Here is a 15,477-nt window from a genome sequence, read left to right as displayed (position 1 = left end):
CGCGCACTCAGGAGGGAGGGTTCGAGTCCCGCCGCGGTCACGGCCTTGCGAGGCGCGCCCACGTTCTCTGGTCGCAGCTCCCAAGCTGTGAAATGGGGACAATGCTCGCACGGCGTCCACAGGATGGTTTTCAGTCGAATGATATTGAAATGTAACTGTTCTGTGAGCCGTCAGTCCCGCACGAAAGGGACAGCCGATAGTGGGACGCGAGGAGCCGAGAACACGGGATCAGGGAACGCGCTGCCATGGCCTCGGCCTGGCCCCCTTCCCTCTGGGGATCGGCCTAGTCCGTCCTCCGGGGGTCGGCCCAGAGCGGTCCCCGACCCGGGACTCATGCCTCAGCGGGACCTCGGCCTTGCCGCAGGTTGGGGCACCCCGGGAAGGTCGGGCCCCAGGGGCCCCGCGGCCAGCCTAGCGGACGGAGAACCGGGACCAGGTGGGAGTCTTAGGGCGGGCCGACCCCCGGCCTCACGGACCCGGACGCTCAGTCACTTCCGATCGTCCGGAGGCCTCCAGGGGGACCCGGCTGGCCGCAGCCACGCCGACGCTAGACTCTCGCTGTGCGTGTTCGGCCCCGAGGGCAGGGGGAGACGGCCAGGCCCCACCCGCCGCGCCCGTCCTGCCCGGGCGCCCGGCCCCCTCGCTGTACCCAGCCTCTACCGGGGCGGCCGGGACCCGGCGGCCAAGTTGCTGCGCGCTGCGGGCACCGGCGCGGACGGGGGCCCGGGCGCTTCGCCGCCGCATGCAGACGACTCGCTGCCCGCAAGCTGCTGCGCCGTCCGCCTGCCCCGCTCTCCTGCAATGGTCCGGCCGCGCATCCCGGGCCCACGACTTCCTTCCTCCTCCACGACCCCGGGTTCTTGGCTGACCTGGCGCTGGCGCTGGGCTTAGTGCAGGCGTGGGCCTGGCAATGGTTTGCCTGCGGGCTGCATGCGCGGACCCCACAGCCAGCTCCCCGAAGCTCTGCGCCCACCTCTACGGCCCTGCCCCAGCCAAAGGATCAGGTTCTTGGAGCGGGGCCTGCCCTGGGGCCAGGACTCCAGTCACCGGGGGAGGGCTGCTGTGTCTTCCTGCCAGGCACTGATGAGTTAGTTGGGGAAAGGGGCCAGGTGGGGCCAGCTGGGGAACCATTTAGAAGAGGGAGGAGGGCGCACCTCTCTACTCGAGTGCCCTAGGACTAGCTCCTCTCTGGAGCCACGGGGAGGACCTCAGTGAGGGCTGCCCCACGCAGGAACCTTCAGCGAGCCTGGAAGGCTGACCCAGCAGGCCTGGGGTTGGGGGAGTCCAACGCAGCGCCCAGGCTTGGTCTGGGTCTGCCTGAGGCCGTCCACCAGGACTCCGTGCTGGGGAGCCTGCTTCCTTCCAGGCTCCAGGAAGGGAGGCCCCGGCCCCAGCCCCAGGTTCTGAGGAGCTGCCCCGGCTCGGGTGGCCTGCAGGGGTCCCCTCAGGTCCCTGGTCCTGAGTCTGCAGGTGGTCCTCCCGGGGTGGGGCGGATGGGTGAAAATGCCTGTCCACACGGCAGCAGGCTGGGCTGGCTGCCCACTGAGCATTCTTACACAAGAGGCCCCGCCCCCTCCTACAGCTTCCTGGTCCCCAAATGGCCAGGCCTGGCCTTAGAGAGGCCTCTGTCCTCCTTGGTGAAGGACACTCACTTTGGGCCCTAGGGCCTCTGGTTCACATCCTCTCCATTGATTCTCATTGTTCGCTGCCTTTGTGGTCATTCTGCCTTTCCGACCATCTCGGCCACATCCTCACAGGAGGGCAGCGGGTGGCAGTCGCCCCGGCTCCACCTCACCCATTTCTCAGTGCTGGGCTGGTGTGGAGGGAAGATCCCTGGCCTGGGGGCTGGAGGCCTGGGTTCTCAGTCTTGGCCATCTGGGATGGGTGCAAGGTCCTCCTGGAGCCCCTCCTTCTCCATGAGAGGGACGGTTCTATCCACCTGCCAGGCCTGCTTATGCTCAGGGAGGGGGAGGGGCAGGAGGGGGCACTATTTCAAACCAACGCTGGCCCCCGGGCTGCAGAACGACCCTCTGACTCACCTGGGCAAGGTGGCCAGTTGGGGAGGGGAGAGTGTCCGAGATCCCAGCCCCCGGTGGGCAGCAGACAGTGGAGAAGCAGAACTGCCCTCCGATCCGGCTGGGGTCCCCTGCAGGGCTGCACTAGGCTGTGAGGGGCGAGAAGCAGAAAAGGGGGAGATTGAGTCCTCAGGGAGCGTGCTGGGGAAACTGAGGCAGGACCTCAGCCGCAGGCCCTGGGCCACCACCCACATCTCAGGCTGGGCTTGTCTTCTAAAGTTCTGCTCCCAAGCCTGCTTTTCTCTGGGCAGGCTCTGTCCCTTCTGCCGTGGGGGGCAGGCGGGGTTGCCTTGGGAAGAGGGTCAGGTGGAGGTGGAGGACGTGCACCTGGGGTGCCAGAGCTTTTGAGGCCCTGACGCCGGGGGGCTGGCCATGTGGATGCCCTGTTCCTGGAGCAGCCAGAGGAGGGTTTCTGGAGGTGCCCTGGGGGGAGTGAGGAGGAGTCCTAGGGAGGGTGGGGGCTCTCAGGAACAGAAACAAACTGTGTGAAGCCATTTGTGCTGGGAGGGACCGTCTTGGTCCCCGGCTGGCTTTGTCCTCAAGGGGTGGACCTTGAGGAAGGGCCAAGTCCCATTCGGAGCAGAGTGACAGATCCCACAGAAGCAGGCGTTGGGGCAAGGGGAGGGAGGGAGCCCTATGGGGGAAGGCGGTTGGGGCCGGTTCAGCCCTGACCCAGTGCCAAGGGTGAGCGCCACCCTTTCAGGCCTCTGCCCGCCTGCCTCTAGGAACGTGGCACAGCTGGCAAGGACACAGCCAGAGGAACAGGTCTGGGGATAAGGTGGTGATGTTACCTGGGAGAGGTGGGAGCCAGCGTCTCACTGTAGGACGGACACCAGCTCCCCAGCACGGGCCGCGCAGAGGGAGGGCCAGCTCCAGCACAGGGCAGGGTGCTCACTTGAGGCATGAACCTCTTTCCAGACAGGAGTTGGTTTCATACCTCCTGCCAGGCTGAGGCGCACAGGCGGGGGATGGGCAGTGTGGCTGCTGCCCATGGCCCTGGTCACATTGAAGTCTCCAGGTGGCTCCACCTGAGGCCTCCTGTGTCCCCCGGCTCAGCTCAAGCCCCACCTCGGCCTAGACGTTTTCTGGGCAGCGACAGCTCCTCTCACAAGCTGGGAGGCAGGGCCTGCGGGACTCAGCACCACGCAGACCGGCTGCCCCCAAGGACTACTGGACGTCTCCCTACCTGAGCCGAGCCATGCGGGATGCCGGGTGGCTGCTGGGGCAGGGAGGACAGGTGCAGGTGGGCGGGGTGCATGTGTGAGGGTGAGGAGGGTCCCCAGCCCCAGCTGGCGAGCAGCAAGGACGCCCATGGCAAACGCTACCTCTGGAGGCCGCCATCCCTCGGGTCTCCTCAGCTGCCATGTCCTGCCCACCCTCACCACTGAGCTGGTCTGTGGGTGCAGCACCAAGGTGATGCTGTCAAGGCCCAGGGCTCAGCCCTCCCTGCACAACCAGGCTGGCCTGGGCCGGGATCTGTGACACCGGGTCCCTCTCCTGGACGTGGGAATGCTGGGCACATGGGCATGCAGGCTGGGGAGGTGTCCTGACTTAGGTGAGCGTGAAGAACTGCTACTTTCTTTTTTTTTTTTTTGAGACGGAGTCTCGCTGTCGCCCATGCTGCTGGAGTAGAGTGGTGTGATCTCGGCTCACTGCAACCTCCGCCTTCTGGGTTCCAGCGATTCTCCTGCCTCAGCCTCCTGAGTAGCTGGGATTACAGGTGCGCGCCACCACGCCCAGCTAATTTTTGTATTTTTAGTAGAGACGGTGTCACCATGTTGGCCAGGCTGGTCTCAAACTCCTGACTTCATGATCTGCCCACCTTGGCCTCCCAAAGTGCTGGGATTACAGGTGTGAGCCACCGCGCCCGGCCGAACTGTGCCTTTTATTTTCTGCTTTGTTGCTTTGACCTCTGAGGCCTTGCTGGCCCTGGTGAGACTGCCTCTCCTAGGGCCCACCGATTTGTCAGCAAACAACTTCCTGTGCAAGCTCCTGAGTCCAGGGCCCACACCCCCTCCAGGCCTCCTCTGTGGGCTCTCACAGCCTAGGCCCTGTCCCCCTGCTCTTGTCACCCTGGGCTATGTACCCGACAGCCAGGGACAGCCCCTGCCCAGCACCCACCAGGGTGTCCACTCTGGAGTCCCGAGCCTGTGGCCCCACCCTGCCCATCCTTTGGTGGAACCACAGTGAAGGCTCTGCCCATGCTTCCCCCCACTGCCTGTGTCTGCGACGACCCCAGTGCCCTCCCGCGTGGCCCTGGGTGGCACGGGGTGCCCCTCCTTTGGGGATCTGAGTAGATTTTAAATTTTTTTTAGAGACAGGGTCTCGCGGTGTCGCCCAGGCTGGAGTGCAGTCGTGCAATCACAGCTCACTGCAGCCTCGAATCCCGTCCTCAAGCGATCCTCCCACCTCAGCCTCCCAAAGCACTGGGATGACAGGCGTACGCCCTGGCGCCTGGCCCAGCTCTTTTAATGGCAAGAGGCTTCGCCAGCCCAGAAGAGTATAAAAACCTCCGTTTTAACGTGGAGGGCGGGAGGCACCCTCCAGCTTGTGTCCCTGTGTGTCTCACGCCAGGCCCTGGCTGTGGGGGCCACACCCTGGATAGACCCTTCCTCTTGACTCCTGGGAACCTGGGGAGCCCAGGCCTGCCCGCTCAGGACTGCTCCAGGAGGGGCCTGGCGATGGGGCTCCCAGGAAGCCCAGGCCAGGTGGCAGGTGGGCCCGCTCTGATCTCAGCCGAGCCCACCCTTGCAATTAGTGGCCTACACCCCCAACCCCACTCCAGCCCCCATGGGGTTCTGGCCCAGCTGCCCAGCCACCTGTCTTCAAGGAGCCTCTGTTCAGACTCTCAGGGTCACCTGCCGGGGTCTACAGGGCATGTGGTTCCATGGTGCACCCACGGGACCAGCCTTGTTCCATGGAGTCCTGGGCCCAGCAAAGGCACCTGCTCAGGATCTCTGTGTTGTTTTGAGCATCCCAGACCACACTGAGGGCGCCTCCTCCAGGAAGCCTTCCTGGATCCCGCCAGCTCTCTGTTCTCCTAGAGGGTGCCTCACACTCCCCCTCCTCGCTCCCCTGCAGGAGCAGGAAGACTAAGGGGGTCGTGCATTCGTCTCCCAAGCCTGTGTGCCCCAGGGCTTCAGGCCACAGCTGAATCGCCTCCGTGCCCACAGCCTGAGTCCAGGGCATGTCCTGCTCCAAGTATGACACTCACTGTGGGTGCAGAGGGGCCCCTTGTCACGCTTCTGAAGGCAGCCCCTGCCCCACGTCCTGCAGCACCCCCACGCATGGTGCCGAGTCAGGGGACGGGCGTGGAGGGAGGCGAAGTCCCCGGCGGAGCACAGGTGATTATCAGAATAATATTTATTGATATGCTCGGTGCTACCTTGTTAATTCTGCATGACATGGTCTCCATGGCTGAGGTATTTGGGGTGGGACCAGCCGGGTGCCGGCCGGGGCTCCCACAGGAAGCCATGTGGCCTCAGCCGCGGCGGGGGGCCCGGGTGGGGGACGTGGTTATTGCGTTGGGCCCCTTCACTCCTCATACATGGGCCACGCGCTGGCGTGCACTCACGCACTCGCCCGCCTGCTCACACTCACACACTCCCACTCAAGCTGGCACCACACCCTCTGTGCACACGCACACACGTGCACACTCGTACATACACACCCGCTCGCTCACGCTCACCTCTGCTCATGCCCGTTCACACACACACCATCCTGCTTTAAACCCATCCTGTCTCCTGATGATAAATATGCTTGTTCGGTACAGCAGTCTTAGTAAAATAAAATGTCTGTCAGGCGACAAGGAGAAAGTGCACGTTGACCTTTGACCCGAGGGTGGACCTCGGTCCCTCCCACCCGAGGGCATCAGGTCCCTGCAGGGGGTGACCCCTGAGCATGTGACCCCATGGGCGTGGCCACCCCACTGGTGGGACTGGCCCCACCTTCCTCTTCCCTGGCTCTGGGCTGGGGGAGCTGGGCTGGGGGAGTTGGGCTGTCTCGCCACAGCCCGGGGCCAGGACGAAACGGACTAAAAAAATAAACTCTTCACCTCAGGGCCCCCACCCACGGCTGGGCACCTGATGCAGGAGCATGGGAAGCGGGCTTCAGCCTTCCTGGCCACCGGCTCCACTGGGCCACCTTTCCCCACCCCAGCCAGTGCCTGGCGATGCCGTCCGGGCGGGTTCCCCTGTCGAGCACGTGGGGGCGAAGGCCCCAGGCATGCGGACAGAGGTTGGGGATGCGCGCAGTGCGGGCGAAGCACAGGCCACGTCCACGCAGGGCTGGTGTCCACCGGGAGGCTGGCCAGGCCACACGACACAGGCAGAGGGGCTCTCGGCGGCCTGGACGGTGCCATCCCTCAAAACTCCACAGTACTCACGACCGTTCTCGGCTCGTCGAAGGTGGCGATGAGGATCTGCTGTGGGGCAGGGATGGCGATGAGGTCCCCCACGTCCTGCGGCAGGCGGGGGCCCCCGTCCTCCTCCTCCCGGGCCTCGTACAGCGTGTTGATGTGCAGCAGCGGGTGTGTGGCGTTTCGGCTCAGGATGGTGAGGGGCTCCGCCTTGCCCAGGCTGGCTGGTGTCAGAGGGGCCACAGCAGGGGCGGCGGGAGGTGAGCGGACGTGGAACGGGCCCCCCGAGGGAAGCCCTGCCCGGGCTGGCTCTGTGGGGTACGGGATTTCCTTCTCGGGGAGCGGAGCATCTGCAAACAGCCAAGAGCACAGACATCTCACACCATCCTCCGCTGCGCCGCCCCCAGCGCCCACCCAGTGCAGGCTGGCGGGGGAGCAGGGCTCACGGCTCTGAAGCGCCCTGGAGACGCTGGGCCTGGACGCCCCTGCACACAGCAGTTGGCCTGGGAACACCCCCCGCCCCACTGTCCCGGAGCCGCAGTGCCGTCGGTGGAATTTCCTCACCCGAGGAACTTGGCTGCACCACGCACGCGGAGCTCTAGGAAGCTGACCAGGAGCACGTCGCTTCCAGCCTGCATCTTCCCCACCTGCCTCCCGGGGGGGTCTCCAGGGCCCTGCCTGGCCTGAGGCTCACCTTGACAGTAAGTCCGTTTGATGGAGCCGGTTCAAACCTCGGCCTCCTCCCTTCCCCCTTTGAGGGGGCCTCAAGCCAGGCCCCCTCCCTTCCCTAGCGCCCTGGCCAGGCTCCCGTGGGCCGCTGTGGCTGTGGGCGCCTCTCCCACCCCCAGTCCCCCGTCCCCTCTCTCCGGCCCTGCCCCTACCTTTGATGGGCGCCGGGGCCAGGCCTAGCCCACAGTCCTCCGCCTGGGACAGGAAGCCCCCCTCCTGGCTCCGGGAGGCGGGCAGGGCGGCGGGCACCGCCTCGGCCTTGGCCTTCTTGGTGCCGAGGATGTAGGGGTGCACGTCCAGGGAGAAGTGGCGCGCGTGCTTCTTGTCAGGGGCGGGCGGCGGGGCGGGGGCAGGGGCGGGGCCGGGGCCCGGGTCGCCCCCTCCGCCCTTGTAGTGGTGGGCGGAGCGGTCCAGCAGCGGCGCGATCAGCGTGTCCGTGGCCGTCTTCCTGCGCGCGGGCTTCGGCTTCTCCGCCTTGCTGTTCTCCACGCGCATGATGGCCAGCGGCTCCTTGAAGGGCTGCGGAAGCGGGTTGCTGGTGGGGATCCACTTCATCTTCTTGCGCGGCCGCTTGACCACGGGCGGCTCGGCGGCGCCGTCGGGCTCGGCGGGGTTGGCGCTGGGGTCCACGGTCTGCACCCCCGAGTCGCGCACCGTGGGGGTGGCGTCGTGGTTGGACTGCGCCAGCGCCGCCAGCAGCTGCCGGACCACGTTGTCGTACATGAGGTCGCTCTCGTTGGTGATGAAGTCCAGCCGGTTGAGCGACTTGATGTGGTCGCGGTTCTCGTTGCAGAACATGGCCAGGATGTTGATGTCGCAGAACTGCGAGCGGCGCCACTGCCGGCGCGTCTTGATGCCCACCTTGTGCAGCTTGTCGAAGATGAAGTTGCTCTTGCGGAAGATGAAGAGGTGGATGAGGTTGACGAGGATGATGAGGTTCATGACGCACAGCAGCACGATGTCCACGCCCGCGATGATGCGCTGCAGTTGCACGGACGGGAGCTTGCAGCTCACGCGCACCGCGGGCCCCGCACCTGCCGCCCCGTCCGGGGACGCGCCCAGCGCGCAGGTGAACTCGTTCTGCTTCTGCGTGGCGTAGTAGGTGCACAGGTAGGAGATGGGCACGGCGCTCAGCAGCAGGATCAGCACGTGCCGCGCCAGGTACAGCTTGGCCAGGAAGTTGCTGCGGCCGCGGCGCTCCAGGTACTTCTCGAACAGGTTCTGCTCCGGGCTCTTCTCCTTCTCCGCGTTCTCGATGATCTCGCGCTTCTCGCGCTCCGTGATGCCCGGGCCCTTGGACTGGATCTGCTTCTCGATCTTGGGCGCGCGGCCCTCGGCCGCCCGGTGGTAACAGTTGTCGATCTCCTGCAGCAGGAAGTTGAGCTCGGAGGTGAGGCGCGTGGAGGCCAGGAACTCCCAGCCCAGCGCGGGCACGTACATGATGGCGGCGAAGGCCAGCAGCGCGTAGGGCAGGAACTTGTGCTCAAACAGCGACGGCCACAGGCTGGCGTCCACGCCGGGCAGCGCGTCCCGCAGCTCCGTCCAGCAGTAGCCGCGGGCGTACAGCGCCTGGTCGCGCGTGAAGTTGTGCGGGGTGTAACAGTAAATGGGTTCCTCTGGGGGCAAAGAGGAGACACGGGCTGGGGCGGGGAGGCGCACGGGCTGGGCTGAAGAAACCGGGCTGGACCTGACCGCGTCCCTGCCGAACCCCTCCCAGGAGCCTCTCCAGCCTCCTCCCACACAGCACCTGCGGTTGCCCAGATGAACCCCACCCCCTCCCCCCACCACGGTGGTGTGGGGGTCCCGCCCTGACTACCCCCACGAGGTCAGCTGCGGGGCACCTGCAGGTGGAAGCCATGACCGCCTGCGAAACCACCTGAGCCATGCGCCTCTCCAAATGTCACAAAGCCCTGTGTGCACAAGGGGAAACCAAATCCCAGAGAGGGCCAAGGCAGGCCAGGACTCCCAGCCAGGGTCCTTCTTCTATCCACACACAGCCGGACCCAAACCAGGTCCCAGCCACAGGCCGTGTACAGCCCGGGCTCCCCTGGGAGGAAGGCGGTTGGCTCAGGTGCTGCTAGCTGGCAGGGTGGTTTCCACAGCACCGGGAAGGCAGGGTGGGCTCTGCCCACCCTTGAGGGTGAGGGGCGCCTCCCTAAGACCCACTGTTCTGGGGACTGGCCAGCCTGGGGACACCAGACACCAGGTGGGGCTGGTTGGGGATGTCACCAGCTGGACTGCGGTATCTGCCGCTAAAATTGAAAAGAGGGAGTCCCTTGAACTGCAGGCAAATGGTCGTTACTGAACTCTGTGTTTTCCCTCAAGAGTCTGTCTCTGCCTGCAGGTGACAATGACACGAACGGCAGTGAAAGTGTTCAGGACATTCGCGCCTTGGCCCAGTGTGGGGTCTGAGCGGCTGGGATCTTGCTAACGTTTCCCAGGAAGGCTCAGAGCCTGGGGGCCTCCAGCCACCGTGCAGTCTCTTCAGGCTGAGCCCTTCACACAGCACAGGCGCGGAGGCCCACACCAGCCTCAGCCTTGTCTCCCAGCCCCAAAGAGCAGCCCCAGGGCAGGGCCCACATCAGCACAATCCCCTCCCCACAGACCAGAAGCAACAGGGACAGGCCTGTCCGTCTGTGCCGAGGCCTGAATTAGGGACGGAAAGCGAGGCGGATTAGAGACTCTGTCCACTCTGGGAAGAGCAGCATTCACTGTTGATGCCCCACAGGGGCCCAGGGGCTGGGCACCTCCAGCCCTGAACCCGGCTCAGCAACGAGCCCCTCAGACCCCACACGGAGCTCCCGGCTGCCATCATCACCACTGAGGCACATCTACCAGTCCAGACAGCCTGCTCAGGGAGGGTTCCCATGAGTCATCAGATCCCCCTGAGGGTCCTGGGGACTCTGGAGGGTTTGGGAGGGAGCCTGGGAAGAGGCAGGAAAAGCTGGGACCTGAGGCCCGAGTCCTCGGTGGGGACATCGAGCTGGAGATGAGCTGGGCTCAGAGAAGAGCAAACCGGACAAGGCAAAGGAATCCACTCTCTTGGTTGAGAAAATGGCATATTTTATTTACTTATGTTTTGTCCTCACAGCCAATCCCAGGAGCCAGAGAAGAGCGTCCACCCTGGGGAAGAGAACAGGGACAGGTTTGTGTCCCGTCCTGAGCTGGGCCCATCCCTGGCAGCCACCCTTGCTGGGCATGTGTGGCCAACATGGGTGGGGAGAGGCCCCAGAACCCTGGACCCAGACTCCAGTAGGGCCGCAGGGAGATGGGAAGGAGGGCTCCTTGGCTCTGGGGCAGGGGGCGGCCTGGCCTCCTCCAAGGTGGATGAAAGCAGGGGCCCCACACCGAGCCACGTGTCTGGCGAGCTGCCCCCACTGTGCGGAGCCCCACTTGGACCCGAACTCCTCATGCCTGTCACTGTCTCCCTGCCGGATGGCGGCAGCAAGGGGAAGCCAAGTCCTGCTTGCCACTCCGACCTCAGTTTCCTCATCTGCTCCACCAAGGATACTGCCTTGACTCACTGCAGGTGACCGGCCCGGCCCTTTGGGGGCCCCAAGGCATGTCCAGCAAGGCTTCCCTCCTCCCTGGACCCGCTGCACCTGCAGGGTACAGGGTGCTCCTGGCAGCCTCAGCAGGTCCTGACGGACTCAAAGCTGTGCTGGCAGCCGGGCCTTTCCCGGTGGATGCTGCCACAGCTTCTAGCAGGGGCTGCCAGGGCCGGGGGTGCTGGCCTGACTCGGGGTGGGGCAGCAGAGAGGGGCTGCTGAGCCCAAATCCACGGGCCCATCCCACACGCAGCGACTGCTACGGGTCCTCTGTCCGAGGCCCTCCTCTGGGACTTCCCAGGGACAGTGGGACCCTGCCTGGGCCAGTGCAGGTGTCCAAACGGAAGGCAGGAAGGCCTGGCCCATCCAACAGGGCAGACAGAGCCGCCGCCAGGGGCCCGTTTCTTGGAAGACATTGCTGTGTGGATCCTGGCCATGCCAGCTATGCCCCGAGAGGACACTGGCTTCCCAGCCAAGGAGCCTGTCCACACCCAGCCCTCAGAGCCCCAGTGACAATATCAGAGTTGGCAGCCAGGGGCCTGGTGCTGCTTGGAGCACCTCTGAGCGGGTGTCTGAATACACCCCAACACGGCCCATATTCCCATATTCAGAATGCCGTCCCCAGGACCCGAGGCTAAAGCCCAGCCCCCCCGGCCCTCCCCCAGTCCTGCCCTTCTTCGGTTCTGCCATCCCCAAGCTCATCTCCAGCCCACCCCTGCGATCTGGCCTGCACATGGCCCCAAGGTGCCCCCCAAGGGTGAAGCTGGGTCCCTCCCAACAGCCCTTTCCACCCCTGTCCTCCCACCTGGGGAGTGGGGACACCTCTCCAGGACACCCCTGGCTCTGCGCAGCCTCCTCCTGCCTGCTGGCCAAACCCTGTCTGGTCACCCCAGACCACTGCCACATCCTGGAAGCCCTCAGCCGAGGCCAGGCCCTGGCCCTTCCCCGACTCCCCTGGCCTTACAGACCTCCACATGGGGTCTGCAGTGAGCAGAATCATGGCCCCCAAAGATGCCACATCCCAACCCCGGAGCCTGTGGCGGTGTCACGTTTCCCGGTTCACGAGGACTTTGCAGACATGCCTAGGCTGGGGGTCTTGGTGGGCAGCAATTGCAGGGTTCTTCTAAGAGGGTCAGAGTCAGGGAGGAGATGTGAGGACAGAAGTGGGGCTGGGAGAGAGAACGCCACGCAGCCGGCTCTGAGGACGCAGGAAGGGCTGCAAGGCCAGGAATGTGGAGGCCTCTGGAGGCCGGAGAAGGCAGAAAGTGGGTTCCCCCTTGGAGCCAGCCCTGCTGACACCTTCGTTTTAGCCCCATGAGACTCGCATCTGGCTTCTGACTTGTAGGTTTGTTCCAGCAGCCACAGGAAGCTAATCCTGGCGGTGGCTGCGCACCTGCTACATTCTCCACTCTCTGCAGGCTGAGGGGGGCCGAGACCCTTCCCCAGCCCACCTTGGAGACCCTGGGACTTGGCCCCCAACCTTCGAGGGTACTGCATCCTGAGACAGCAGCTGGCCACACGGGCCCTCAGGCCCAACCCTGCCCTGCGGCATCAGGGGCTGCGCTCGGCCCTCCAAGGATGATGAAGCCAAAAAGAGGAACCAGCCCATAGGCTCCTGGGAGGGTGCTCGGGGGCAGAGCGCTCGCTTCCTTTCCGCTTTAAAGAAGAAAGTTGGGCCGGGTGCGGTGGCTCATGCCTGTAATCCCAGCAATTTGGGAGGCCGAGGCGGGCGGATCACCTGAGATCAGGAGATCGAGACCAGCCTGGCCAACATGGCAAAACCCCGTCTCTACTAAAAATACAAAAAATGGGTCAGGCACGGTGGCTCAACGCCTGTAATCCCAGCACTTTGGGAGGCCAAGGTGGGCGGATCACGAGGTCAGGAGATCGAGACCATCCTGGCCAACATGGCAAAACCCCGTCTCTACTAAAAATACAAAAAATTAGCCGGGCATGGTGGCGGGCGCCTGTAGTCCCAGCTACTTGGGAGGCTGAGGCAGGAGAATGGTGTGAACCCAGGAGGCGAAGCTTGCAGTGAGCAGAGATCGCGCCACTATACTCCAGCCTGGGTGACAGAGCGAGACTCTGTCTCAAAAAAAAAAAAAAAAAAATGAGCCAGGCGTGGTGGCGGGTGCCTGTAGTCCCAGCTACTTGGGAAGCTGAAGCAGGAGAATCGCTTGAACCCGGGAGGCAAAGGTCGCAGTGAGCCGACATCGCACCACTGCACTCCAGCCTGGGTGACAGAGCGAGACTTTGTCTCAAAAAATAAAAATAAAAAAAGCGGGGGGGTGGTGAAGAAGAGAAAAGGGCACAGTGGCTCACGCCTGTAGTCCCAGCACTTTGGGAAGCTGAGATGGGAGGATCACTTGAGCCCAGGAGTTTGAGACCAGCCTGGGGAACATGGCACAAAAATTAGCTGGGTGTGGTGTGGGATGCCTGTGGTCCCTGCTACTGGGGGCTCGGGGCTGAGGCAGGAAGAACACCTGAGCCCGAGAGGTGGAGGTTGCAGATCGCACCACCGCACTCCAGCCTGGGCGACATACCAAGACTCTGTCTCAAAAAAAAAGGAAATTTGGACACAGACAGGGAGGGAAGAAGCCCATGAGAAGACAGAGGCAGAGACTGGTGGCACGGCCACGAGCCAAGGCGCCCAAGGATTGCCGGCAGCACCAGAGGCTGAAGAGGCTGGAATGTCCCTTTCCTAGAGCTGTGGGAGGGAGCAGGGCCCTGCCGACACCTCGATTTTGGACTTTTGGCCTCCGGAACCATGAGAGATAAATGTCTGCTGTTTGAAACTGCCTAGTTTGCGGTACTTGGTTGCTACAAACACAGAGAACACACGTGGTGTCTGGACATGCTGGGCCTGCCCCAAGGCCCCACCGCACGCCTGGGCTCCCTGCTCTGCAGAGTGTGCTGTGTGCCCACCCCAGGGGTCCTCTAATCCCCGGGGTCTGGCCTCCAGTGTCGAAGAGGAGACCAGCAGAGGCCTCCTCCACCCCTGGGTGGGATCAGACAGCCTGGCCAATGTCCACCCTCAGGCCTGGTGTCTCCAGGCCACGGGGACTCCTTAAGGCAAGGCATCTGGGAGATTTGGGAAGCGCCAGTGCTGAGGCAGGGTCTGCTGAGGTTTGGAGGCTGCAGAAGAGAGGGCCCCAGGGTCCCAACACCCCTCCCCGCTGCAGACTAGTACCTCTGGGCCACACAGGCCAGGAGACCCTGATCCCCCTTGCCTTGGCCCAGACCCCAGGGGAGGAAGTTCTCGGCTCCACCTGTCTCGCCCCACTCCTTGGGGAGGGCAGAGGCACCAGGACCCCACCCCGCAGAGGCTCACAGGCAGGCTGGCTGCTCTGTCCATCTTCCTGCCTCGCCTGGGTGGCTTCAAGTGCCCCCACAGGTCCTGATCTAACCAGCGCGGGTCCCTGCCCTGGTCCAGCCCCCATCTCCCTGCAGGAGCTCCAGGCTCCCTGCTCTGACACGTGGCCCTGCCCCATGCTAGCCCCCCTGCTTCAAACCTTCGGAGGCCCCCAGTGCACCCGGAGAGGCCTCGCCCTGCCTGAGGGGTGGAGGGCCTGGGCCTCTCAGAGACTCTCTCTGCCCTCCTTCCACCCAAGTCCAGCCTGGGAACCCTGCCCGGCAGCTCCACCAGCCCCTGTAATCAGCTCTCTGCTGTCAACACCCATCCCGGCCTTTCCTGGTCCCCACCTGGCCACCCTGCATCCCCTCAGGCGCTGCTTGTGACATTCTCCAAACCAGACCCCGTGTCTCATGACATTTGGGACCCCTGGGTCCAGACAGGCCTAGTCCCACCCGCGGCCATGGGCGGACGAATGGAAGGAAGAACAACAATAAAATAGAGACGAGGGGTCTGTGCGACCAGCGACACCTGCTAGGATGGGGGCGGCTGTGGAAGGTGCCTGGGACGCCGCGGACGCAGCCAGGCCACGGTGGGCGCGGCTGGACGGAGCCGCCGGGGACGCGGGAAGCGCCAGCTCCCGGACACCTGCGGACGCCCCCTCTGCCCGCGCCCCGCGCCCCGGCCGCCGGCCTCACCTGCGAAGTTCTTGGTGAAGACCAGGGTGACCAGCAGGATGGGCACCAGCACGGTGCCGATGGTGACCACCCGGTCGAACGGCAGCTCCAGCTTCAGCTGCAGAAGCAGCGCGGCCAGCGCGCCCGCCTTGTCGTCCTGCGCGCCCGGCAGGATCAGCTCCCGCAGCTTCTCTCCCGCCAGCAGCGCGGTCGCCATGTCCGCCGACTGCTCCAGGAGGTGGTGCATGGGGGGCGGGGGGCGCGGCCCGGCGGGGGGCGCGGGCGGGGCGGGGGGCGCGGGGCGGGGCCCGGCGAGGGGGGCGCGGGCGGGAGGGGACGCGCGGCGCGGGGGCGGGGATCGGGGAGCGTGGGGGCGCGGGACGGGGACGGGGCCGCGGGCCGCGGGAGAGGGTGGCAGGGGACGCCGGGACCGAGCGGGGGGCTCCGGGGGATGGGAGTAGCCGGAGGCGCGCGGCGGGTGCGGGGCTGGCCGGGCGCGGAGCCCGCAGCGGGGTTTGGGGGGCGCTCCGCCGCCGCCCCCGGGGTCAGGGGGCGGGCGGGCCGGGCCGGGGCGGCGGCGGGGGGCACCGGAGCCGCCCGCCTCCGCCGCAGCCCGGCCCCCGCCCTGGCGCGTGCCTCCGGCGGGGGCGGCGGCGGGATCCCGGCCCGGAGCGCGGGCGGCGGCTGCTGTCCCTGCCTGGGGCCGGCGGCCCCGCTCCCGCCGCGGGGAGGGGGCTGT

The 15,477-nt window shown here is 65.3% G+C and overlaps 1 protein-coding gene across 5 annotated transcripts, besides 4 other annotated features; it reads right to left on the bottom strand.

Moving 5' to 3' along the window:
- Positions 271-370: a silencer, noted in NCBI's record as "silent region_13951". NCBI's record gives its function as "represses an Ori minimal core promoter by ATAC-STARR-seq in GM12878 lymphoblastoid cells {active_cell/tissue: GM12878}" and the evidence as "EXISTENCE:reporter gene assay evidence [ECO:0000049][PMID:35858748]".
- Positions 561-630: a silencer, noted in NCBI's record as "silent region_13950". NCBI's record gives its function as "represses an Ori minimal core promoter by ATAC-STARR-seq in GM12878 lymphoblastoid cells {active_cell/tissue: GM12878}" and the evidence as "EXISTENCE:reporter gene assay evidence [ECO:0000049][PMID:35858748]".
- Positions 1,516-2,091: an enhancer, noted in NCBI's record as "H3K27ac-H3K4me1 hESC enhancer chr22:50622054-50622629 (GRCh37/hg19 assembly coordinates)". NCBI's record gives its function as "activates a minimal SCP1, AML or CMV promoter by ChIP-STARR-seq in naive H9 embryonic stem cells {active_cell/tissue: H9 hESC(naive)}" and the evidence as "EXISTENCE:reporter gene assay evidence [ECO:0000049][PMID:30033119]".
- On the bottom strand, positions 5,421-14,985 carry PANX2 (pannexin 2). Of its 5 annotated transcripts, NR_027691.2 has the most exons (5): positions 14,760-14,985; positions 10,234-10,284; positions 7,314-8,777; positions 6,581-6,782; positions 5,421-6,495 (listed from the first exon to the last, which is right to left on the bottom strand). NR_027691.2 is itself a non-coding variant. In XM_047441448.1 (4 exons), exons 3-4 carry the CDS (start codon positions 8,599-8,601, stop codon positions 6,439-6,441), a joined length of 1,632 nt encoding a protein of 543 aa, XP_047297404.1. In that variant the 5' UTR covers positions 8,602-8,777; positions 10,234-10,284; positions 14,760-14,985; the 3' UTR covers positions 5,421-6,438. The 5 variants fall into 5 exon arrangements, 4 of the variants coding, with proteins under 4 accessions (XP_047297404.1, NP_001153772.1, NP_443071.2 ...); XM_047441448.1 differs by having other exon boundaries at positions 5,421-6,782; NM_001160300.2 differs by lacking the exon at positions 10,234-10,284.
- Positions 13,460-14,152: an enhancer, noted in NCBI's record as "H3K4me1 hESC enhancer chr22:50609993-50610685 (GRCh37/hg19 assembly coordinates)". NCBI's record gives its function as "activates a minimal SCP1, AML or CMV promoter by ChIP-STARR-seq in naive H9 embryonic stem cells {active_cell/tissue: H9 hESC(naive)}" and the evidence as "EXISTENCE:reporter gene assay evidence [ECO:0000049][PMID:30033119]".
- Positions 14,986-15,477: the final 492 nt, after the last annotated feature.

The sequence above is a fragment of the Homo sapiens genome, chromosome 22, assembly GCF_000001405.40.
Source record: "Homo sapiens chromosome 22, GRCh38.p14 Primary Assembly".
Classification (NCBI taxonomy): Eukaryota; Metazoa; Chordata; class Mammalia; order Primates; family Hominidae; genus Homo; species Homo sapiens.
This window is presented reverse-complemented; position numbering and strand designations above follow the sequence as displayed.

Coding starts and splice junctions, on each gene's coding strand:
- PANX2 (NM_052839.4), bottom strand. CDS start 14,985: ATGCACCACCTCCTGGAGCAGTCGGCGGACATGGCGACCGCGCTGCTG. Junction 8,778..14,759: donor CTTCACCAAGAACTTCGCAG/GTGAGGCCGGCG, acceptor CTTTGCCCCCAG/AGGAACCCATTTACTGTTAC. Junction 6,783..7,313: donor GGCCCCGGCGCCCATCAAAG/GTAGGGGCAGGG, acceptor GGCTGTTTGCAG/ATGCTCCGCTCCCCGAGAAG.